General features: G+C 43.4%; 2 protein-coding genes across 9 annotated transcripts in view, besides 4 other annotated features; one reads left to right on the top strand and one right to left on the bottom strand.

The window, feature by feature from the left end:
• Positions 1 to 12890, bottom strand: part of GVQW3 (GVQW motif containing 3) — a 33312-nt gene extending 20422 nt beyond the window's left edge. For 3 of the 7 annotated variants that reach the window (NM_001347884.2, NM_001347885.2, XM_024448282.2), the window contains exon 1: positions 11920 to 12890. In NM_001347884.2, coding sequence (NP_001334813.1) covers positions 11920 to 12384 — 465 coding nt within the window. In that variant the 5' untranslated portion in view covers positions 12385 to 12890. Of the gene's footprint in view, positions 1 to 1307 lie in introns of those variants that run through there. The other 4 variants (XM_024448281.2, NR_130990.3, NM_001282456.4 and 1 more) reach the window with 4 other exon arrangements.
• Positions 12803 to 13732: a silencer, noted in NCBI's record as "silent region_3782". NCBI's record gives its function as "represses an Ori minimal core promoter by ATAC-STARR-seq in GM12878 lymphoblastoid cells {active_cell/tissue: GM12878}" and the evidence as "EXISTENCE:reporter gene assay evidence [ECO:0000049][PMID:35858748]".
• Positions 12803 to 13876: a biological region, named in NCBI's record as "H3K27ac hESC enhancer GRCh37_chr11:76091381-76091882".
• THAP12 (THAP domain containing 12) overlaps positions 13081 to 25702 on the top strand; it is a 31177-nt gene continuing 18555 nt past the window's right edge. For both annotated transcript variants that reach the window (NR_130898.2, NM_004705.4), the window contains exon 1: positions 13081 to 13465. Coding sequence is in view for 1 of the 2 variants with exons in the window: in NM_004705.4 (NP_004696.2) it covers positions 13377 to 13465 (89 nt within the window). In the remaining variant the exon portion in view is untranslated. The remainder of the gene's footprint in view (positions 13466 to 25702) is intronic.
• Positions 13375 to 13876: an enhancer, noted in NCBI's record as "H3K27ac hESC enhancer chr11:76091381-76091882 (GRCh37/hg19 assembly coordinates)". NCBI's record gives its function as "activates a minimal SCP1, AML or CMV promoter by ChIP-STARR-seq in naive H9 embryonic stem cells {active_cell/tissue: H9 hESC(naive)}" and the evidence as "EXISTENCE:reporter gene assay evidence [ECO:0000049][PMID:30033119]".
• Positions 22771 to 22880: a silencer, noted in NCBI's record as "silent region_3781". NCBI's record gives its function as "represses an Ori minimal core promoter by ATAC-STARR-seq in GM12878 lymphoblastoid cells {active_cell/tissue: GM12878}" and the evidence as "EXISTENCE:reporter gene assay evidence [ECO:0000049][PMID:35858748]".

Here is a 25702-nt window from a genome sequence, read left to right as displayed (position 1 = left end):
AAAAATAACTAAAGGAAGGCTGGGCGTGGTGGCTCACGCCTATAATCACACTTTGGGAGGCCAAGGCAGGCAGATCACCTGAGGTCACAAGTTCAAAACCAGCCTGGTCAACATGGTGAAACCTTGTCTCTACTAAAAACACAAAAATTGGCCAGGTGTGGTGGCGTGCACCTGTAATGCCAGCTACTCGGGAGGCTGAAGCACGAAAATCGCTTGAACCCAGGAGGTGGAGGCTGCAGTGAGCCAAGATGGTGCCACTGCACTCCAGCCTGGGTGACAGAGCAAGACTCCTCTCAAAAATAATAATAATAATAATAATAATAACTAAGAGTATAACTGGATTGTTTGTAACACAAAGGATGAATGCTTGAGGTGATGGATACCCCATTTACCCTGATGTGATTGCTATACATTGTATGCCTGTATTAAAATATTCAATATACTCCATAAATATATATATACCTGCTATGTATCCACAAAAGCTAAAGCTAAAAAAAAAAATTAAAGAATGTGCATTTTACATGGTGGTAGGGGAGGGTGGCTGCTTCACTGAGTGGGTTGGTGGGTGGTGGGGGAGAACAGCAATGGTGAGGCTGAGGCTTGAGTCCAAAAGGGGAGTTTCCCAGGTGGATGGCAGCAGAGAGGGATTCCAGGCACAAAGTGGGGCATGATTGAGCTAGCTCAAAAAGTTGGTGTCCAAAAGTCTCCAGTTTTCAGCAAACTCCAAGCCAAATAGCACAGGAGCAGTGTAGGGGATGGTCTTCAGACAGTGAGGTGAGAGGTGGGTGACCACCCCTGTCCAGTTGCAGTAGGTGACAGTAAGAGATGTTAGGGAAATCACATGGACCTGCCAGGATGTCAGGGTCAAAGAAAACATGATTCCAAGATTGGGCCACTGGGTGGGTGGTAGATACTGCCCATCCCTAAGGTGAGCCTACAGGAACATTCTGTTCAGGAGAGGTCAAAGTAGAATAAAATATACAGTCCCCTAATTGTATCCCCTTATACTACACCCATCACCTCATTTTATGTATTCTACAATTTTTAATTTTTTAATTTATGCATTGGAAACCAACTTCCCTTTTCCTTGGGCTTCTTGTTTTCATGTTTGAAATATATGTTACCATGGAAATGTCATGGTACAGTATAGCGGCATTTATAAGTGAAGTGTGAAGAATTTTCAGAACATCTAGAAACATAAGACTGGGGTTTAGGGATATAAGTCCTTATTATGTGATAGCATTCATGACTTCAGACACTGTGTCATGAATATAAGCATACTCAGAAATTTGAGACAGCACAGAGGAGATAGTTGAGAGTTTTATTAGGATTTATGTGCCCAGATTTTTAAAAACGTGTATGAGAAATATTAAAAACACAAAACATAACACACTACTTGGGAAGAACATCTGGAAAAAATGGATGACAGAATGCCAACATTTACTTATGAATACGCACCTCTGGAAGGACCAGGGGACCTGGACACCCCAGAGAAATTTGGTAAAACCCTCTGCACCACTTTCTATGCTATAAATATGTTCCTTAAAAATTGTATGTAAATCAACTGTTAGTAAATCATTTGTTAAATACAAGGGTGAGCATGATTTTAAAGATATCATAAGAATGTACATTTTAGTAAAGGAAATAATTACCGATGGAGTAATAGAAAAAAACTCACGGACTGAGCGAAGTTCAAGGTCCTTCATTATTATCCTGGCTCTGCCACCAACTAAATGTGCGATTCAAGAAAATCACTCAACCTCCCTGGGCCAATTCCCTCATCGAGTTTGGGTTGTAATTCTGAATTTTCACTTATTAGGTTCTTAATGCAAGGTACAGGGGTACTGGCCCACAGCCTCAAGTCCAGTTTCTTCTGAGAGGTAATATTACACACTAAATCCTTGTGTACAGAGCTCCAGGCTCTCTTACATAAGAAGAGCTACAGTTACCATCATTCTGTGTTTTGCTTCTTTACAGTCCACTGTCTCTTTTTCACAATCACCCTTAGTTGATGATTACAACTGTTTGTTCCAATTCTTTACAAAAGTTTGTTCCTTAGCTCTGTCCTCTGGGAAAAATTGACAGTCTAAGGTAGGAACCCTTTCTTGGTGCTCCTCTCCACCTCTGGCCCTTTCCCTAACCCACAAAGCTGGGCACTGCCCAAGGACAAGGGCTGTACTCTGTGCCTAGTGCAGGCCCAGGCTCGAAGAAGGAATTCAGTAAATGACCGTTCACTGATTTTTTTTTGTTTGTTTTTTTGAGACAGAGTCTCACTCTGTCGCCCGGGCTGGAGTGCAATGGCACGATCTCAGCTCACTGCAACCTCCACCTCCCAGGTCCAAGTGATTCTCCTGCCTCAGCCTCCTGAGTAGCTGGGATTACAGGCATGCACCACCACACCCGGCTAATTTTTGTATTTTTAGTAGAGACGGGGTTTTACCATGTTGGCCAGGTTGGTCTCGAACTCCTTACCTCATGTGATCTGCCCACCTCAGCCTCCCAAAGTGCTGAGATTACAGGTATGAGCCACCGCACCCAGCCTGGCTGGATGTTTTTGAAGGAGGAAGCTGAGGCAAGGAGATGGGTCTGATGACAGACCCGAACTCTAGGAGTGGACTTCTGGCTGCTTCTTTAAACATTTCTAAACTTTCCAAATTTTCTACAATGGACAAAAATATCAAAACCGCAAACCATTAAACTCTCCTTTTCCTGGCTTTCTGTCAATGCCCTGGTCTCCCATAAATAATGCAGTAGGCAGTTTCCTTCTAATACTGCAAACTTTGCTCAGTGCTCCAGCATTTGGCCCAGGACATAGGGCACACATCTTTTCTTTAAGAGAAACAGCCGTTTCGGTCTTCTAGTCTGTTTTGCTTAAATAGCAATGACACTATGCATTTGTCTTTGTGGACTTAACACCTGCCATCCTGCCCCAGGCAAGGACTCCTGCCAACTGGCTCCAGAAAAGGTCATTTATCAACCGTGTTTAGGCACCACCTTGATTAATCTGCCATATAGGAAGTACAAAACACCACTGTAAGAATTCTTTTGTCTTCTTAAGCAGAAACAGGTTTAGGCCTTAACTGGCAAGAGATAGAAAGCAACCAGTCAGGCTTCTTGCCGACTACCACCACGTTGTAGGGTAATTCCGGAGCTGTTAGGAAGCCTCAAGAAACAGAAGAAATTATTCTCTATTGGGCACGTACTCCATGCCAGGTGTTGTGCTGTGTGCCTCGTATACACAGAAGAAATTATTCTCTATTGAGCACGTACTCCATGCCAGGTGTTGTGCTGTGTGCCTCGTATACACTGTTTAATGTAAGCCTCACATCTAATAATCACTATCTAACATAGATATTTTTACTAATTTATCTTTTTTTTTTTTTTTTAAGACGGAGTCTTGCTCTGTCACCCAGGCTGGAGTGCAGTGGCGCAATCTCAGCCCACTGCAAGCTCCGCCTCCCGGGTTCACGCCATTCTCCTGCCTCAGCCTCCTGAGTAGCTGGGACTACAGGCGCCCGCCACCGCGCCCGGCTAATTTTTTTCGTATTTTTTTAGTAGAGACGGGGTTTCACCGTGGTCTCGATCTCCTGACCTCGTGATCCACCCGCCTCGGCCTCCCAAAGTGCTGGGATTACAGGCGTGAGCCACCGTGCCCAGCCTACTAATTTATCTTATTTCTTGTCTGTCTCCCTCACTGAAATGTGTGCTCACGAGGAGGAACATTTCTTGGGGTCTTGTTTATTGTGTCTAGAACAGCATCATACACAGATAAGCACTCAATAAATATTGTTGAAATGAACAAAATGAACAACTCCATGAGATAGATGGCATTACTTCCCTTTTACAGATGAATTAACTGACAACCTTAGAGGGTACAAATGAACTGCCCAAAGTCACATAGCTAGTTAAGAAGCCAGAACTGAAACCCAAGCCTCACTCATTCATTCTATAGACCAGAGGACTTATACTTAGATCTTAAAGAACTCTTTCAGCTTGGCGATTATATGAGCTATAGGCCTATAAAATATGTATTTACCTTGTGTACTCATTTGGAGGTTTAAAATTTCACTGAGGAGACCTTTAACATTTTTATAATAATCATTTTACTAAAGCAAAGATTAAGTACACATTTTCCCAACATAACAATTTCATCTATGGATAGGCATTAGCTACATGATTTTTCATTTTAAAACCCCACAATGATTATTTTTCAGACATAAATAAAAAATACACTGGTTCTAGATGCCAACAAAATCACATTTGCAAACCTTAAGAGTTTGGTAAGTTACAACATTAAGATGACTAACGATATGTGTGCAGTATTCTCAGTATAGAATACCCAAAATTCCCGTGTACATCTGTGTTGCTTGAGTGTCCCAGTATGGGAGGAGGTAGACTTGGCACATCGAAAGCCACTGCTATACTAAAGAATCATACAAAGTCTCAGGGATTCTTCAGAGAATCAGCTATTATAAAATCCATCTTGATAATTCATTTTGTGCGAGAATGTGAGAATGAAATGCAAAGGAGGTTAATTTTACCCAGGAGAGCATTCATATCCTTTTCCACTTGTCAGAATATACTTGATTCATAAGTGGTCTTTTACCGACCTACGACTACATCACAAGAGCATGCCAGCCACAGTGTCTTCCCTTAACACTTTGTGTTTTTTTGTAGGGATTATGGTCACATAGTCACACGGTCCCTTCTCCTCCTGGGCAGGTCCTTTTCCCTTCTGTCCCAGCCTTGCTGCCAACACAAGATCATATAGCCTCTGTGTCCACCCAGCCAGTTAATTGTTCATGGACCAAACTAGTGATCTGGCCTCAATCTCTCCACTGCCAGCTCTAGATGCTATTGATTTTTACTGATAATATAAGTAGTAATATACTGGAGAAAATTTTTTAAAGCATAAAACCAGGAAAACCCATAATCCAACTACCCAGAGTTTGCATATCCTTTCCATCTTTTTAAAAGTCATTTTTTGGATTTATACATACAATTTTGTATATCACTCTTTTCACTTAACACTATAAGCACTTTGCCATGCTGTCAAATACTCTTCAGAAACATAAATTATAATGATGGCACAACAGTCTACTGGATAGTCATACTGTAATTTACTTAACCAATTTTCTACTGTTGGACTTTAAGATTGTCAAGCCTTGATTTTGCCCACATTTTAGACTATTTCTTTAGGACAAATTCCCAGAAGTGGAATTGGAGGATCAGAGGATCTAAACATTTTTAAAGCTCCTGATAGATATTGCCAAATTGCTTTTCAGAAAACCATTGCCAGTCTACACTTCTAACATTGCCAGTGTGTTTTTCTGCCAATATAGATCTGTCTAAAGGATAATAAAATTTAAATGAAACACGCAGTCCTCTAATTATTAATGCAGCTGGAGAGGCATCAAGACCAGAGCACAAAGGCATGTGGCAACAGTCATACCTATTTCCAGGTATGCAGTTAACAATGGGTTAGTGTGCACACACGGAACAGAAAATTTGCAAGAGTGAAGAGTAATATAATTAGATTTCAGACCATCTAATCCAAGGCCTGTGTCTATTTTGTACACTGCTGTATCTCGGCACACAAGATAGCATCTGGCCCATACAGCCACTCAATAAAAAATTGTTGAGTGAATTAACACAGAATCTTCTTTCAGATGCAATCTTTCAGCAGCTGTAGGGTTTAGTTACTCCTGAACTCATAGGAAACATGACTGACTGGATCAGACAATTTTGTAATGGACTGTTCAATGCTGAGATTCTACTACAACTTTGGAAAATCAGTTTAAATAAAGGTGACACAATAAAGAGCTCTCTAGGGGAAAAGACAAATACACTTACCTAAAAGGACAGATCTCAGCACCAGTTGCAAGGTGCAAATACACATATGTATCTGTAATACATATATATATTTGCAAGCATGCAAAAAATACATTTCAGTGAGTTTTGTCATCTCCATAGTACACACTTTAATAGGTGATAACATAAGCTTATTCAAATGCTACCCATGGTCAAATCATTTTTGGGACTACCTTCAGTTCATTCTATTATTGTTGGTTGCAGCTTGGCATCAGTTTTAGTGTTGCCAACACTGGTTTTGATATTTTACATGGGAATAATATAGGTGGTTTTATAATATCATTTTTAGTCAAAAACAGCACAAAATTTATTTTGTGAACCAGAATATTTCAAGGTAAAATAGCCAATCATTCAGCTTTAGTTTACTCTCCTGGCTCCACAGAGTCCCTCCAATATTCCACAATTTCTTTTTTTTGTTTGAGACAGGGTCTCACTCTGTCGCCTAGGCTGTAGTGCAGTAGCACGATCATGGCTCACTGCAGCCTGGACCTCCTGGGCTCAAGTGATCCTCCTGCCTCAACCCTGCAAGTAGCTGGGACTACAGCCACGTGCCACCATGCCAGGCTAATTTTTGTATTTTTTTGTAGAGATGGGGTTTCACCATGTTGGCCCAGGTTGGTCTCTAACTTCTGGCCTCAAGCAATCTGCCCGCCTCAGCCTCCCAAAGTGCTAGGATTACAGACATGAGCCATCGTGCCTGGCCCACAATTTCCACAAATAAATTGTCAGACACTGCCAGATCAATGTGGCATTAATAATGTTATTGATGGAAAATAATCATCTGTCATTTTTATATACACACTTCATATACACTAGACTGGGGGTTATATCAAACTATAGCCGATGGGCCAAATCTGTCCTGCCATCTGTTTTTCTATGGCCTAAAAGCTAAGAATGTCTAACTTTCTTTTTTTGAGATGGAGTCTCCCTCTGTTGCCCAGGCTGGAGTAGTGGCAAGATCTTGGATCACTGCAGCCTCCAGGGTTCAAGCAATTCTCCTGCCTCAGCCTCTCGGGTAGCTGGGATTACAGACACACACCACCACGCCCGGCTAATTTTTATATTTTTAGTAGAGATGAGGTTTTACCATGTTAGCCAAGCTGGTCTCGAACTCCTGACCTCAGGTGATCCACCCGCCTCGGCCTCCCAAAGTGCTGGGATTACAGGTCTGAGCCACCGTGCCCGGCCTCTTTTTAACATTTTTCAATGGTTTAAAAAAATCAAAATAGTATTTTGTAAAAACTATATAAAATTCAAATTCTAGTATCCATTTATAAAGTTTTATTGGAACACAGCTGTGCTCATCTGTTTCTATATTAACTATGTCTACTTTTGCACTAAAATGTTTAGTGGCAAAAGAGACCATATGGCCCATAAAGACTCCTTTATAGAAGTCTGTTGACCACTGGACTATGCCCAAGTGAGTCCTTGGAGGGGACCCACTGGAGCTCCCCACTATAGATTTTTTGTTTCCGGATATTAATACTGGGAAAGGGGTGATTCAACTAGGACAGTATTTGCAAGGATCTGATAAGGGAGACACTGTAGAACATAAATACATGATGGTTACCTCAGAAAAGATATAAACGCCTGGTAAAATCTGGGTGGGCTGACTGAAGAAGAAGTAATTGGAGAATGCACAGTAACATACACAATTTAGCAGCAAAGGTGGGCTCTTATTGAGTCACATGGGACCTTGCTGAGACCCAATCCCAACGAGCCTAGTGAAACTCTCTGGTGATGATGTCTGCAAATAGCAGGGAGACTGAGCAGCATTTGTAATGCAATGACAGACAATTCCCCAATAGTACCCCATTCCTTTATTAGGTGTCCTCAAGTCATTTAGCATCCAGATTTATCCAGGCATTTCCAAAGGCAAGTCTTAGTCTTTGACTAGAAATTCATCTGAAAAAAAGTTTCTGGGAAGGAGGCCCCAGGTAAACATTCTTCCCCAAATAACATTTCAATGAGGACTCAGTGAGGATCAGAATTCAGAAGATGGCAGAACCCTCCACATGTTTTTCTAAGTCACAGATTTGGTGAACATTTTATTCTTTCTCTTTTTGATCATTACTAGTGGGGCAAATGAAGCAAGGTAGGGTGGGGTGATGGAAGGGGAGAATTGCATAAAATCAGTGTTAGGATGATCTGCCCCAGAAGGCATGTATTCCTCTTAGACGCTCAGCTGTGGCATAAAACATTCCATGTGGACTTTGAATTAGAATGAGCGTGGGGGCGGGGACAAAGATCAACCTGAAAGCCAAACGGAGTCATTGACCGATGGTGTTAAGCTTGAGAAAGTTTGCAGATGGCCAGCTCTCCTACTGACATCCCACAGAAAGCCAGGCTTGATCTATTGTGGTTAGGTGGAGTTTCTCCTGCCAGGGAAAATACAGTTGCTAGGAGAATGGGCTTTGGATGTTATAACTCTGAAGAAGTTTCATGACTCTTGCTACTAGAGGTAACCATATTGCCTCCTTGAGAAACTGGTGACACTGGGTGCCTCTGGGGAGTGCAACTGAGGGTGGCTAAGGTGCCCATGTCCCTTAGAAAAAACAAAATCAACACATAATTCCCCCATGTCACCCCACCCTGCTTCTTTAAGATAGGAAGGCAACCTGGGGCCAGGGCTGGAGCAGACAATTTCCTTACTCAGCAGCTGAAGCGGGGAGCTGAAAGAAGGATCCAAAAAATCAGAGAAGAGTTGTAAGTTAAGTGGAAAACCATGACCCAAAGGTCAATACAAGGATCAGCACACCAAAGTGACCAAAAGCAGCTACTGAAGATGTGACCCAGGACCAGAAAACAAAGCAACAAGGAAAGAGAGGAGTAAGAGCAAACTGTGAAGAATAAACTGAGAGGTGTCTGAAGATAGTCAAGGACAAGAGCCTGGGGTGTGACGGACACATAGCTGGATGTGTGAGACTACGGGACCAGGAGCTCAAGAGGCCTAGGCAGCAAGGTGCAGGCCAGGGCAAAACGTGCATCAGCAATAAAATAGATTTGGTGGGTGGACACATTAGGAGTACTCATATAAGAACTTTCCTATTTGGAGATGCCCAGATCATGCTCTACCCTTGGGTTTAGAAATTCTGAGCAGCCAAATGTGAATGGTTTGCTCTGGATAAGTCCTTTTCATTATAGCCAATTGGAACCATTTGAATTCACACTCCTAATTACCTGCTTCTGGTTGCTGTGTCTAAACCATGTCTGGACCAACATAGCTTCTGGTACTCTACACTCCACCATGGGTCTTGGTCCAGCATCACTGGCAGGGACATACCAGCCCTGTTCATAGGACTGGAATAAAATCCAGAAGTAAGTTGTCTCAGGACCTCTGTTTAATAACAGGTTAGAAACAACTCCTGTAGGTATGGTTGTGGGATCCTGGCCTGGGACCAGGAGCATATAAATCTGCAACAATTACCACTGGGTAGGCCTTAGCAAGGATTACTATGAGGTTCAGCAACAAAGCTGCAAGAACTAGTGGTGGGGACTTTGTTCCTAAAGTGCAGTGTCCCTGGTGCCAAGTGCTTGTGGGCAACCTAGAGCCGCATCTGATGTAGGAAGACTTCATTGTCCTGAAATGGAATGTCTAGAAACTGTTAAGGAGCTGGAGGTCTATAAGCTGTTGTTTGGTTTAAGAGTTTTCTTACACAGTATCTTCTCTTTGTGGGACAACGTCTAGCTTTCAAGGTGTCTCAAAACTAACAGGTGTTGACCCGGCGTGGTGGCTCACGCCTGTAATCCCAGCACTTTGGGACGCCGAGGTGGGTGGATCACCTGAGGTCAGAAGTTCAAGACCAGCCTGGCCAACATGGTGAAACCCCGCCTCTACTAAAAATACAAAAAATAGCCGGGTGTAGCAGCATGCACCTGTAATCCCAGCTACTCAGGAGGCTGAGTCAGGAGAAACACTTGAACCTGGGAGGCGGAGGTTGTAGTGAGCTGAGATCGTGCCACTGCACTCCAGCCTGGGCAGCAGAGCAAGACTCCATCTCAAAAAACAAAACAAAACAAAAACAGGTGTTAATGAGGAACTTGTAATTTTTGGAGGTGAGTAGAGAAAGTGAAAGAACAGCACTAAAAGTAACTGTGATGAATGAGTGTTGTGCCTCTACTATCAAGCAATATTGTTTAAGAGGAGCTGTTATATCTAAAAATCCTTGAGTAAAACAAAGACTGGCCAATTCTGTGAAATGCTATTACCAAACCCCTGCCCCCTGAATGTTTCCAGTCTATGTGGTATTACTTGGAACCCACTTGGGAAAAGTTCCATTCCATAAATCCTGGCAGAGGCAGGAAGAGAAGAGACAGAGTTTGAACTTGCAGAAACTGCTTGTCGGGGTCCAAATGGAAAATCAGATATCAAATTGGTTGTTACAAACCTATTCACAGACTCAGGGGAAGCAATTTAACAACAAGTGGCATAGAGTTGGAGGCTTAGGAGAGAAAGCAAATTATCCCAAATTGTTCATCTGCTGCAACACCATTATCTTCCTCTTTAAACTTTGTTATTTTAGCCAATAGTGTCATCATTTTCTAATTCCTTTTTTTTTTTTTTGGGACAGAGTCTAGCTCTGTCGCCAGGTTGGAGTACAGTGGCGCAATCTCCACTCACTGCAACCTCTGCCTTCCGGGTTCAACAGATTCTCCTGCCTCAGCCTCCTGAGTAGTTGGGACTACAGGTGTGCACCACCACGCCCAGCTAATTTTTGTATTTTTAGTAGAGACGGGGTTTCACCATGTTGGCCAGGATGGTCTCGATCTCTTGACCTTGTGATCCACCCACCTCAGTCTCCCAAAGTGCTGGGATTACAGGCGTGATTCACCACACCTGGCCAGTGTCATTTTCTACTGATGCAGGTTGGAAGCCTCATGCTGTTCCACCTGCCCCGGAAGCTTTCCCTAATTTCACAGCCCTGTCTCACCCATCCTCATGGATCCAGTTCAAGAACCATCTCATCCATGAAGCCCATCAGCCCTTGGAGATCTTGTTCATAACCTCCACATTGTCAATGCCCAGCAGTGTCCTAAAAACAGCAAGTTCTCAAAACTATAGGCATTAGTTACTAAAAACAGGCTGCTGTGTGGGAATCCGCACATAGGCAGCAGGCTCCCTTAATTCAGGGACTAGAGAGCCACCTGGTCTTCCTCCCCACACAACACAGCCTTGCCTGGGTCCCCGGGTTTATATTTTCTAGCACCAGATCCTCCTCTTCCAACAGGGGTGATACCCAAATGAGTGGAGGTCCAAAGCATAGGACTAGAATGAAACAAACCCAGCTCTTCTGTGAGGTGTAGGCCTGTGAGAAGATCAGTATTGGTGGCCAACCCCTGATTCCTAAGGGTGCCTACTGAGTCATCTGGGCCAGATCAGCCCCTAGGCCCAGCACTGTTCAGTAATACCAGCATGCTACTACCTTCTGTACCATACCTCAGGCCCTGACTGCAAAGCAGGCTGAAACTGTAAGCCTTCTTTTGGGGTCCTCCCAGAAAAGCATGCTTCCCTGGGCACAGAGATACAGATTCCAGGAGATCCTGTTCCTCTCTTCTCACTGGCATGATCCTCTGAGGCAGAAGGTTGAGAACAAAGGAACAGGACAGCCACAACAAGCTAAGGTCTGGGCAGAGAAGAAATCCAAACTTGTTGAGCAAAAGAAATCAAGAACAAGCAAATACCAGAAGGGAACAGCCAAAAGTTTTTCAAAGTTATGGAGAACAGCAAGGAAAATGGTCCAAGAGTCCAGCAAAGAGTAATGAGGAGGGCCATGGCACATAGGGAGGAGTGGTGAAGACTGAAAAATACGTGAGCAGCCAAAGAAGGTGCCTAACAGTGAGGCAGCATCCTAGTTCTGGTTCAGCTAACTCACATTCCTCTCACCATGGGGTGAACCAATTCTCAGCTACCCTGGGGGGAAGGCTTGTTGAAGATGACGCCTGCAGAAGCTGACTGGCAGAGTAGTGGACTCTGGGATGGGATACCGGCAGGGGCATTTCCCCACCAGCTTCACCCTGGAGATAACTCCATGTTTCAGAACCTGTTACCTTTTTCCTCAAACATGAGCTATTTTTCCTAGTTTCCTTTGAAAGATCGGACCGAAAGTCAAGTTTTCGTGGTTTAGGCTCACCCTTCAAAACACCCGAAATAACTTTTGCAGAAATCTTCCTCATGTTCAAGTTTTCTTTCAAAATGAGCCTAACAGTTTCTTTGTCTAAATTTAACTCTTCAGCCATCATCCTCACGGTTAACTGCCTGTTTGAACAAACCAAGTCCTTGACCTTCTGGATATTGTCATCTGTTCGGTGGGTGACTGGACGCCCACTTCGGGCATCATCTCGAACATCTTCCCGTCCTTCTTTAAACCTTTTGTGCCAGTCAAAAACTCTGGCCCTTGACATGACTTCATCCCCATAAGCTTCTTTTAAAAGATGGTGGGTCTCACTTGCAGACTTGTTCAATTTCACGCAAAATTTGATACTAATCCTTTGTTCTAAATAGCGGTCACTCATTCTGGCACTGAACAACACAGGAACGTTTAACAGGCCACGACTGTAAGGGAAAGACGGACAGATCAATCTTTATAGGGCTGCAGGTGTAATCATATCGCTCTTCTTGCTCTTCTAGAAGCCTCGCCGGGAAAGAGTAATTGCTTTTATGAATTTTTGTCCCTCAGCTTCCAGTCGAGGCTGGGGAGATCCGTTCTGGGAAGCCAACAGTCGCTGCAAAGCTGGGAAAAATTAAATCGCCTACAACCACGTCTGCATCAAACCAGTGCACGCACATCTGCCGAGAGTTTGCCAGTCACCAAGGTCGCTCCGATTCCGCGGCCCTTAAGGAGTATATGGCGAATTCTGCAAGAAAGGCCTAAGTGGTGGCAAATTAAGCAAGCAAGAAGAGATGCATCGGTGATGTAACGTGCAAGCTCGCCCTAGATCTGCAGAAACCCGCGCACGCCAAACCTACCGGAGCAGCCCAGGAACCGCCTGCTCTAGCGTCCCGGGAGACAGGCGCGCATGCGCAATTCTCTCTCCCCGCGGATTAGACTGTGCGCAGTCGCACTGCGGCGGCGCGCGCCAGGTCCCGCCTCCGCCTCGCCACACCCCGGCAGGCGCGCTTCCTTGCGCGTGCCCGCCTGCTGAGAAGGCGGAAAGGAGGGGCGGGGGAGGAAGGCTGAGGGAAGAGAGGGCACCCCCGGGCGTCAGGGTGCATTGTGGGAAGGAGGCGGCAGCGTCTCGGGCGGGCGGGAGGTGCACCAGCGGCGGCGGCGGCGGTAAATCCTCCCGGCCGCTCACAGCACTGTGGAGCCGCGTCCCCAGCCCGGCCTCGGACCGCGGCACCCCTCCTGGCCCTCGCGGCTTCTAGCCCGCCCGCCCCTCCCCCGCGCGTCGGCCCTGCCGAGCCGGCCGGCCGGCCTGGCTCCCCTCCCCGGCCCCGACGGGCGGGCGGACTGCCCTGAGGAGGCGGGGAGGGGAGGGCTGGGCCGGCCGGCGGGCGGGCGACGATGCCGAACTTCTGCGCTGCCCCCAACTGCACGCGGAAGAGCACGCAGTCCGACTTGGCCTTCTTCAGGTTCCCGCGGGACCCTGCCAGGTAAGCGGCGGGCGCAGAGCGGGCGGCCCGGGCCCACCTTCGCGGTGAGCGCTGCCAGCCGCCGGCCCCTGGCGGGCTCCCGGGCTGGCTGAGAGGGGCGCAGGAGGCGGGCGCAGCGCACTGCCGTCGACCCCAGCGTTGGACCGAGATGGGGAGCCGGCCCCGAGCCGTGGGCGGGCGGGCGTCCGGGGACCTCGGAGCACGTGCGCTGGTGGGGGCTCTGCGCGGAGGACACCACCCCAAACGCGAGGGAGCTGGGGCGGCGCGCGGACGCGGGATGCTGTGGGTTCTCGCCGTGGCTCACTTGCTGTGTGACCTCGGGGGAGTCGCTTTCCTCTCTGGGCGTTAGTTTCCTTAGCTGTCAAAAGAGAGCAGGACTCTATGGTTGTGGCCACTGGGGCCTTTCCCTCTCCTTGCCACCACCCCCGGGACAGTGTTTCTGTTTTGAGTCCCGCTACCTTCTTTCATCTCATCGCAACTGCTTTCTCCTTCGGACTTGTCATTGCACGGTTCAGGATTCATTTTCTGGCTGTCACCGTTACTCATTTTCTCGCTTGGGTATTGTAGGGATAACAGAGGGTGTACGCGTGAGGGCGTGGAAATTGGTATTGGAACCTCTTCCTTCGGATAACCCCCACACACTGACATATTTAGGGAATGATAGCATAGGGACTGTGTTTGAAAGGCTGAGATGTTTCATAGGCCTGTCTTGTTGGTTCATTCATTTAAAATCAATGCCTACTATGTGCCGAGCGCAAATGTTAGGTGCTGGGAGTTCATGGGTGAATAAGGGTGTCACTGCTTGCAGAAAGCTCTCAGTCCAGTAAGGGAACAGGTGCAGCAACGGGCGACTATAATTTATGTTATTTATTAATTAGTTCAATTAATTATTGAAGGTCTACTTGTGTTGGCATTGTTGTGAGCAGTGGGGGTTACAGATGAACAAATCGAAGTCCTTGCTTTCATGAAGATTACATTCTAATGGGGGGGGAATAAACAAGTAAAATACGTAGTGTGTCGGATGATGATAAATACTGTGGAGAAAAATAAACAAAGGTTAGAGGGTAGGGGAATAAGTAGTATCAAGGGACGCACAATTGCTATTTTAAATACAGTGATTAGAGAAGGCCTCACTAAGAAGGTGAATTTGAGCAAAGACCAGGTGAAGGGGCCAGCCATGGAGATACCTTGGGCAGCAGCATTCCAAAGAAGGCAAAGACAGGGCAACCAGGAGTCCAGGGAGAGGGACTGGGAGAGAGGTGAGATGAGACCAGAAAGGTGTGTGTATGGTAGGGGCAAATTCTTTAGGTAGGACCTTGTAGGTCTTGGAAGGCACTATGGTTTTTATTATGAGTGAAATAGGAAGTCATTGAAGGGTTTAGAGCAGAGACTTAAATTTTAACAGGATCAGTGGCTGCTCATTAGATTGTGGGGAGGCAAAGGTGAAAGCCGGAAGACCAGTTAAAAGGCTGTTGTAATAATCCAGATTAATAGAGGAGGAGATGGTAAATTTGAGATATGGTTTGAAGGTGAAGCCAACATCATTTGCTAATGGTTTGGAGGTAGATTGTAAAAGAAAAAGAGAACTTAAGGACGACTTCAAGATTTTAAAAATCTATGTTGGCCAGGTTGGTCTTGAACTCCTGGCTTCAAGCAGTCCTCCTGTGTCGGTCTCCCAAAGTGCTAGAACAGGCTCTGAGCCACCGCGCCCAGCCGACTTCAAGATTTTTAACGTGAGCATTTGCTGAGATAGGGAAGACTGGGAAGAGCAGGTTTGGTAGAGGAATACTAGAAGTTTGGGTTTGAGAGACCTGATAGACATTCAAGAATAGATGTCTAGGCCGGGCATGGTGGCTCACACCTGTAATCCCAGCACTTTGGGAGGCCTAAGCAGGCGGATCACTTGAGGTCAGGAGTTCGAGACCAGCCTGGCCAACATAGGGAAACCCTGTCTCTATTAAAAAATACAAAAATTAGCTGAGCCCAGTGGTGCGTGCCTGTCCAGCTACTCAGGAGGCCAAGACGTGAGAATCGCTTGAACCCAGGAGGCAGAGGTTGCAGTGAGCCGAGATCGTGCCACTGCACTCCAGTCAGGGTGACAGAACAAGACTCCGTCTCAAGAAAGAAAGAATAGATGAAAAAAAAAAAAGAATAGATGTCTTTCTTCATACCATATACAGAAATGAACTCCAAATGGCCTATACTTTTATTGAGATCAAAGGCCTAAATATAAGAGCTATGTCATTAAACTTTTAGGAAAAAAATACAGATAAATCTTCATGACTTTAGATTTGGCAGCACATTCTTGTTTGTTTTTTGTTTTTTTTGAGAGTCTCACTCTGTTGCCCAGGCTGCAGTGCAGTGGCACAGTCTCAGCTCACTGCAACCTCTGCCACCGATGTTCACAAACTATTCTACTCACTCAGCCTCCCAGGTAGCTGGGATTGCAGGCATCCGCCACCATGCCTGGCTAATTTTTGTATTTTTTTTTAGTCAAGACGGGGTTTCGCCATGTTGGCCAGGCTGGTCTCGAACTCCTGATCTCAGGTGATCTGCCCGCCTTGGCCTCCCAAAGTGCTGGGATTACAGGTGTAAGCCACCGTGCTTGGCTGGCACCACATTCTTAGATATGACACCAAAATACATGCAGTAAAAAGAAAAATAGACTAATTGGACTTCATCAAAATTAAACTTTTGTGTATCAAAGAACATTACCAAGAAAGTGAAAAGAATGGAAGAAGGTACTTGCAAATAATACATTTGATCTGGGTCCAGTATCCAGAATATATAAAGAACTCTTACAATTCAGCAACAAAAAGACAACCCAATTTTAAAATAGGCAAAGGACTTCTTTCTTTAAACAGAAGATATAAATGGCTAAAAAGCACATGAAAAGATGCTGAGCATCACTCGTTATTAGAGAAGTTCAAATCAAAACCACAAGTGGCAGTTAGATGTAGAATTACTGTGTGTCCCAGCAATTCCATTCCTAGGCGTATATCCAAAGAATTGCAAACTGATATTCAAAAAAACCAAATGTACACACATTCATAGCAGCACTATTCGCAATAGTCAAAAGGTAGAAACAAGCCACGTTTATCAGTGCTTGAATGGATAAACAAAATGTATATCAATACAATGAAATATTAGCCATGAAAAGGAATGAAGTGCCAGTACATACTACAGTATGGGTGAACCTCAGAAACATTATGCTAAGTGAAAGAAGTCAGATACAAAAGCTTATATGTTGTATGATTCTATTATATTAAATATCCAGAATAAGTAAATCCATAGAGATAGAAAGCATATCAGTGGTTGCCTGGGGCTGGGCGAAAGGGAGAGTGGGGAGCAACTGATTAATGGTTACAAGGTTTCCTTTTGAGGTGATGAAAATGTTTTAGAATTAGGTAGTGGTGATGGTTGCAGAACATGATGAATGTGTTAATTGCCATTAGTTTTTTACTTTAAAATGGTTAGTTTTATGTTATGAGAATTTCACCTCAAAGAAAATAGATGTCTTGAAGAGAGAATAGGATATACAAGTCTGAAATTCAGAGACTTTCAAACCGGAAATTGTAAATATGGGTGTTCTCAGTTTATAGAGGGTATTTAAAACCGTGGTACGGGTTAAGGTTATCTAAGGAGTGAGCAAAGAACAGATCTGAGGATTGAGTCCTGGGGCATTCCCAGTGTTTTAAGTTCCGAGACATGGGAAAGAACTCGCTCAGTACAGTGAGGAGTAGCAGTTGGGAACAGAGGAGAGGAGCATCTTAGTCTGACTTGGCCTTGCCCCATTATGCGTTATCTTCCTTTTACCCAAATTTTAGCCCAAAGACATTCTTACAGGTTTATTTCACTTCCATAATGAGGGCACCCCTAGTCAGTTCTGGACCACAGGTCATTTGTATTAATATGTAGTGAATCCTGTTTTGACTACACTCCTTAAGGGGAGTATAGTCTATAGGGGTTTACAGTTTCAGATTTGAAAGAAGTGTTTAGATCTAGTGAAATCTCACTTGAAATACTGGAATTTTCTCAATAATAGTGACTTTTATCATTTTTAGGGTTATTATCCCTTTTGAGAATCTAGCATAAGGACTCTTACCTGAAAAAAAAAAAAAAACAAAAAAAACATAGACACAATTTAGCATTCGAAGACAAAGATGTTTATGGGCCTTTATAGGCCCTGTGCATTCCTGACAGATGGGCATCTTTGCCCTTGCTAAAACACCTCTAATGATAGTCCTCCCCTTTGTGAGAAGACACGTGATGATTCTGGACGCTTTGGCTGTTGTTTCTTCCTTGTATTGAGTGGACATCTGCCTCCTGTAATTGAGGCCTTGGAGGTCCTAGTTTTGTTCCCAGGATCACACGAAGTCTCTGCCCTTTTCAACGTTAGACTCCTTTGAATGCTTCAAGACCAAATCATGAATTTCTTTTTAAAAAGATGTTTATTGAGATGCAATTCACATATAATTCACCCATGTAAAGTGTACGATTTGGGGTATATACATTAATTTTTAAAATTTTGGTAAAATACAACAGAATTTGCTAATTTAACCTTTAAGTGTGCAATTCAGTGGCGTTAATTACATTCACAGTGTTGTGCAACCTTCTCCACTATTTTCAAAACTTTTTCATTTATCCCAAACAAAAACTGTAACCATTAGGCAATAACCTCCCATTCCCCTGCCCTTCCAGCCTTTGGTAACCTCGAATCCACTTTCGGTCTTTATAAATTTGCCTGTTCTAGATTCCTCATATTGGTGGAATCATACAATATTTCTCCTTTTATGTCTGGCTTGTTTAACTTAATATGTTCAAGGTCTTTTTATCCAAATCAAACCTCCTCGTACTACATGATTTTAAGTTCTACTGTATTTGATAGTTTCCATTTCACTGTGCCCAGTGTTATTTATAACAAAGAAGTAGTTTCCAGAGGTGTTATTGAATTAATAACAGTATTTTTAGGGTTATTAGTTCTAACCCACCCCCCCCCCACCTTTTCTTCTATAAACAGGTTGTAGGGAAGGTTGATAAAAGGTGACATTGCCAGTCTAGTCTTCAAATGCTAACATTGTTAACAAACAATAAAGATGAATATATTTAATGCTATTAAAACAGTACATTTCCCAGTCATCAGTTATAAATTCCATGCATGCTTTTAGAAACAGCTATTTAGAAATAATTTAAACTTCAAGAGTGTAATTAATAAAGTGTATGGTGTGGAATCACATACCATAATAGTTCTTATTGTTTTAGAAAACGTGGCATTAATATGCTTCTTTTTTAAAAAAGTGAAATAATCAACCCAGCTTAGGTCAGTGACACGGTTTAAGTAAAAAAAAAAAAAAAAAGCCTAAGTCTTGATTGCCCCAGGGTGGCTTGCCTAATGCCAAGGCTTGCCACTGTGAGGCAGCTCACAGTGGAGCTCTTCCTAAACCAGGAGATGGTACAGGTAGAGCTAATGAATTGCTCTGATTAGAGTGAGATGGGCGTTGAAGCTCTCTTCTTCCTCCTCAGGCAGCTAGTACTAACTCACCCAAGATGGGTGAGGGCTTCCAAGGTTCTTCTGGCAATTTAATGAAGGCTGATTGAGAGCTGGTGTGCTCTACTTTGTGAAATGTAAAACAGTGGTTTTCTGGGGACTCGTGAGGGTGCCTGTTTGGGCTGTTATAACAAAATACCTTAGACTAGGTGATTTTTAAACAACAGAAATTTATTTCTCATAGTTCTGGAAGCTGGGAAGTCCAAGATAAAGTCACCAGCAGATTTGGCATCTGGTGAGGGCTCACTCTTGGCTTCTTAGATGGTGCCTTCTTGTTGTGTTCTCACATGGCGGAAGGGGCAAATAAGGCTTCCCCGTCATGACCTAAGTCATCTCCCAGATGCCCCACCTCCCAACACCACTGCACTGGGGATTGTTTCAATATGAATTTTGAGGGGATGCAGACATTCAGACCATAGCAATCCCCAAGATCCTTTCAGGGAGTCCACAATGTCAGAACTATTTTCATAATAACACTGATATTATTTGCATTTTTCATATTTGGTCTCTCAGGAGTGGACAGTGGAATTTTTGGGTTGCTACATAACATGATGGCATCATTGCTTTGATAAATTTTGTGTTGTGTTTTCTAGAATTTTCTAAATATTATTCAGATCTGAGTGTTCAGTAGACATTTTCTCAGAAATAAACAAGCCTGCCACTTCAAGGAGAACAACTGATAATTTGAGCATTCAAGTTGAAAATTAGAATTTTGGAAAATTTATGTGCCACTGTGAGCTTGACAGCTCTCTAATACTTAAAGACTTTTCTGGTGAGATCACTGATGATACTGATGTGTTTTTTTTTTTTTTTGTATAATGAATTGCATTAACATTTATATGGTATGTATAACTCACTGAACTAATATTTTCCAAATGACCAATTTATGGTTTTACAGAGACATACATGGATAAAAGTGCAAGATAGACTATGGGATTTTTTATGTACTAGGGCATGAAAAAGCTCATTGGTCTGGTCTCAGATGTCACATTTCAACTAATCTTGAAGAAACTACCACTTGTGGAGAATTCACAATTATATGGAAAAAAGAGGAGTATTGTAATAACCTTTTTAACTGCATATCGTTATGAGGCTAGATTTTCTTCATATATTTCAACCAAAACAACATATAGCAATAGATTAAATACAGAAGCAGATGTGAGAATCTAGCTGTCTTCTGTTAAGCTGGACGTTAAAGAGATTTGCAAAAATGAAGAAGTGTCATTTTTCTCACTAAATATTTTTGTTTTGGAAAATGCAATTTTTTATTAAAACGTTATTTGTGTTAACATAAGGTTGGTATTTTAATGAATTAATAAATATTTTTAAAATTTTTCTGATAAATGTTGTTAGGTAAAATCCACATAAAAGATCTTTGGAGTCCTCAATAATGTAATAGTGCAAAGGAATCCTGGGACTATGAAGTTTGAGAATTGCTGCTCTAAAATGTGAGCAGCAAATTTCAAACTTTTTTTTTTTTTGAGGGGTCTTACTCTGTCACTCAGGCTGGAGTGCAGTGGCAGGAGCATGGCTCACTGCAGCCTCAACCACCTGGGCTCAAGCAATCTTCCAGCCTCAGCCACCCAAATACCTGGGACTATAGGTGCCCATCACAACCCCCGGCTAATTTTTGAAAAAAATTTTTTTTAGAGACAGGGTCTCACCATGTTGCCCAGGCTGGTCTTGGACTCCTGAGCTGAAGCATTCCCCCCTTGTTCAGCCTCCCAAAGTCTTAGGATTGCAGATGTGAGACACCACGCCCAGCCTGAAGTACTTTCATATCAACTCATTTAATCTTCCAAACAATGGGGTGAGTTGTAATAATAGTACTTCTTTTTCCTTTTTTTTTTTTTTTTGAGACAGTGTCTCACTGTCACCCAGGCTAAAGTGCAATGACACGATCTCCAGTCATTGCAACCTCTGCCTCCTGCGCTCAAGTAATTCTCCTGCCTTATCCTCCCAAGTAGCTGGGACTGCAGGTACATACCACCATGCCTGGCTAATTTTTATATTTTTTGTAGAGACAGGGTTTCGCCATGTTGCCCAGGCTGGAACAGTACTTACGTAGTGTATTCTTTGTGACAGGCACTGCTCTGTTATATACTTCTCTGTTATATATACATTATTTCATGTTACCCTTGCAGTAAATTTTGAGGTAGTCCTTGCTTTACAGATGACCAAAGTAGGTACAGAGAGGTTAGCTAACTTTTTTAAAGGCCCTGCAGAAATGTCTAAAACCTTAAGAGCAGGTAGGACAGGATAAAATAGGTATTACCCGAACTTTTTTGACCGTGGAACCCTGTTTTTTTTTTGGAGACAGGTTCTTATTCTGTCACCCAGGCTGGAGTGCAGGAGCACAATCATTGCTCACTGCAGTCTCCATCTCCCAGGCTCAAACAATCCTCCCATCTCTGCCTCCCAAGTAGCTGGGGACCATAGGCGCACGCCACCACACTTGACTAATTTTTTAATTTTTTATAGAGACAAGGTCTCCCTATATTGTCCAGGCTGGTCTTGAACTCCTAGCCTCAAGTGATCCTCTTGCCTTGGCCTCTCAAAGTGCTGGTATTATGAGCCACCATGCCCGGTCCCTTTTTTTTTTTTTTTTTTAAATGTAACAGTTCTGACTGGGCATAGTCACTCAGGCCTGTAATCCCAGCACTTTGAGAGGCTGAGGCAGGAGGATGGCTTAAACCCAGGAGTTTGAACTTAGAATGAGCTATGATTGCACCAGTGTGCTACAGCCTGGGCGACAGATTGAGGCCCTGTCTCTCTCTCTCTTTTTTTTTTTTAGAAGCAATTCTTTGAACAGGATTCCTTGGAATACACTTTTAGAAATGCTGCATTAGTAAGAAACCAATGAGGGAAAAACATCAAAAACAAAACAAAGAAGTAATCAGTGATGGTTGACTAGTGCTGAAGGTGTTTAAGGTGTGTACAGAAAGTGGCTGCACGCAGTGGCTCACGCCTGTAATCCCAGCACTTTGTGAGGTTTAGGCGGGAGGATCGCTTGAGCCCGGGAGTTTGAGACCCACCTGGGCAACATAATGACACCTCTTCTCATTACTTTAAAAATGAAATAAAAGATAGGCCAGGCACGATGGCTCACGCCTGTAATCCCAGCACTTTGGGAGGCCGAGGCGGGTGGATCACCTGGTCAGGGGTTCGAGACCAGCCTGGCCAACATAGCGAAACCCCATCTCTACTAAAAGTACAAAAATTAACCGGGCATGGTGGGGGGTGCCTGTAATCCCAGCTACTCAGGAGGCTGAGGCAGTAGAGTAGCTTGAACCCAGGAGGCAGAGGTTGCAGGGAGCCAAGATTGTGCCACTGCACTCCAGCCTGAGCGACAAGAGCAAGACTCCACCAAAAAAAAAAAAAAAAAAAAAGAAAAGTTAAAAATGAAATAAAATCTGTACAGGAAAGTGACCGTTGGATTTGGCAGGATAGGGTCGTTAGTAATTTTCTTGAGCAGTTTCAGTGGAAAAGGGATAGAGTAGGAGCCTCCTTGGCATTGATTAAGGAGACAGTACAACAAGATAAGTGGATGCAGTCCAAATGGATGCTTTAACAAGTTTTGCTATAAAGAGGATCAGGATTAAGAGAGTTTTAAAGATGGGAGACATTAGGGCATGTTTACACTGTGGGAATAATATAGTAAGATAAATGTAGGGAGTTGAGATATTATACATGGAGAGGTGGAAAGTCTTAAATGCCTGGAGTTTTCTGTGTGCATACATATTCATACACATACACCCACATATATGTACACATGTGAGTCAGGAAAACTTTCCCTCAAGAAATGACATTTGCGCTAAGATCTGAAGGCTGAGTCATAGTTAACTGTGCATAGGAAGTGTATAAAAAGCAGCAAGAAGAGTGTAGTAGGCTGAGTAAACAGCGCAGGGAAGGCCCCAGGATAGAAGTGAACACAGTTGTTTATCCTGAGAGTAATGAGAAGCCACTAAAAGCTTAAGCATGGGAGAGACATTCTCAAATTGGCTTTAAAAAATGCTCTGCAGCACGGAGAAGGGGTTAGAGAAGGGCAGATGACCAGTTTGGAAGAGATACTAGTAGACCAGGTAAAAAATTATGGTAGCTTGGACCAGGGTGTTATTGATGGAGAGAAGCAGATGGATTTGGGGAGTCATTCCACTGTGCTAAGGGAAAAGTCTACAAAATCTGGAGTACAGGGAACAGAACAATGACAGGGAGAGCTGGGAAAGGGGAGGCATTGGTAAAAATTTGAGACGAGTATGTAAGTGGGTATGTATGTATATAAATATATATACATATTCATAATACACATATGAATACACATGTGAAAACACTTATTGTGGTCATATATATATATATTTTTTTTTTTTTTCTTTTTTTTTGAGACGGAGTCTCGCTCTCTTGCCAGGCTGGAGTGCAGTGGTGCGATCTTGGCCTACTGCAACCTCCACCTCCCGGATTCAAGTGATTCTCCTACCTCAGCCTCCCGGTCATATATAATTTTTATAATTTTATTCATGTAAAAACGTATACATAGAAGAGCTACGTGCGGTGGCTCATGCCTGTAATCCTAGCACCTTGGGAGGCCGAGGCAGGACGATCACTTCACCCAGGCGTTTCAGACTAACCTGGGGAACATGGTGAAACCCCGTCTCTACAAAAAATACAAAAAGTTAGCCAGGCATGGTGGCGTGTGCCTGTAGTCCCAGCTACATGGGAGACTGAGGTGGGAGAATCGCTTGAACCCAGGAGATGGAGGCTGCAGTGAGCCGAGATTGCACCACTGCACTCCAGCCTGTGCAACAGAGTGAGATCCTCTCTCTCAAAAAAAAACCCCAAAAAACATATGCACAGAAGATCACAAATGATAACTGTACATCATGTTGGATTTTCAGAGTAACATATCCATGAAAATTTCACCGGGATTTTTAAAAAATAGAGTATCACTAGCGTCCCAAACTTCCTCTGCTTCATGGTTCTCCCAGCCATTATCCCATTCTCCCCAGTGGTAGCCACTGTGACTTCACATACCTTGGATTAGTTAGGTTTTGGGGGGAAGAGGGAGAATGAATGGAAGCTTTATTATTGTTTGAGATATAGAACATTAGCAGCACCTCAGTAGCCTCTTTTGTGCCCACTCCCAGTTGTTACCCTCCCCAAATGTATCTGCTATTCCATCACTGTGTTGAGGCGGAGCCAGACCACCCCATATTTAAAGATTCACTAGAAGGGCTTGCAGGACTCAGTATATGGTTGTACTCACAGTGAAGATTTATTGCATTGTAGTAAGGATACACATCTGGATCATGAGGGAAAAAGACAGGCACAGTCTGAAGGAATCCATGTATAGGCTTCCCTATGCTCCGTCTTTCCCATGAGGGGGTCACCCAGAGCCCGTTTTTCCCCAGTGGTGGAAATGTGGCAACACGTGCCGTGTTTCTGTGGAGAGAAGACCGTTAGAGACGTAGTGTCCGAGGTTTTTACTGGGTCCTGATCACATAGGCAGCCTCTGCCTGGCATATAATAAAATTCCAAATTCCCAGAAGGGATGGCAGGTGTTCAGCAGGTGTGCTTGTTTGCACAAGCAGTCTAGGCACATTGAGCTGCATTATCAGTTAGGAAAAATTTTATTTCTGTGTATGGAACTGTTTACCAACCAAGTTCCCGGATACCAGCCCAAGGTCCTTAACAAACAGGCCTTTCTAAGGACAGCAGCCTGAGGTCTGCTGTGTTAACTCTTTTTCTGAACAATCACTATGAATGAGTTTTGCCTGTTCTAGAATTTCATATCAAAGGAATCATGTAGTATGTACTCCTGGCTTCTTCTGCTTAACATTACGTTTGTGAGATTGTAGATAGTTTGTTCATTTCATAGCCAAGTAGTATTCCATTGAATGAATATACCACAATTTATCCATCCTGCTGTTGATGGGCAAAGTTACTTCACCTTCTCCCCAATATTTGGTATTACCTCTTTTACATTGTAGTCATTCTTGTGGGTATGTAGTAATTTGTTTTGGCTTTAATTAGCATTTCCCTGATGGCAAATGAGATCGAGCATTTTTTTTTCATCTATGTATTGCCATTTTTATAACCTTTTTATTATAAAGTGCCTGTTCAAGGCCCCTTGCCTATTTTTATGTTGGGTTATTTATTTGTAGGAGTTCTTCATATATATTTTGAATGTGAGTCCATTGTTAGATATATGTATTGCAAATATCTGACATTTTGTGGTCTGCCATTTCACTCTTAAATGGCTTCTTTTAATGAAGAAAAGTTATTAACTTTAAAGTAGCCTAATTTATATATCTTTTCCTCTAGCATTTGTGCTGTTGCCTTAAGAGATCTTTATTCCAAGGTCATGAAGATAATCTCCTGTGTTATCTTTTAGTGGCTTTATTGTTTTACCTTTCATATTTAGATCTCCAATCACTTGGAACTTATTTTTGTGTATGGTGTACAAGTAGGAGTTAAGATTTATTTTTTTCATGTAGATATTCAGCTGACTCGGCCCTATTTATTGGAAAAGAAAAATCCATATTTGCTGCTGTTCAGAGCTACCTTTAAGTATCTGCAGTGCTCTATTTTGTTTCACTGTTCTGTCCTTCTGCCAGTACTTGTCTTAATAAGCTTTACAGTAAGTCTTAATATCTGGTAGTGTAATTCTTTCAACCTCCTTTTTCCTCTCTCTC

The sequence above is a fragment of the Homo sapiens genome, chromosome 11 (assembly GCF_000001405.40).
Source record: "Homo sapiens chromosome 11, GRCh38.p14 Primary Assembly".
In the NCBI taxonomy this organism is placed as follows: Eukaryota; Metazoa; Chordata; class Mammalia; order Primates; family Hominidae; genus Homo; species Homo sapiens.
The sequence above is the reverse complement of the archived record's forward strand: the minus strand, read 5'-3'. Positions and strand labels throughout refer to the sequence as shown.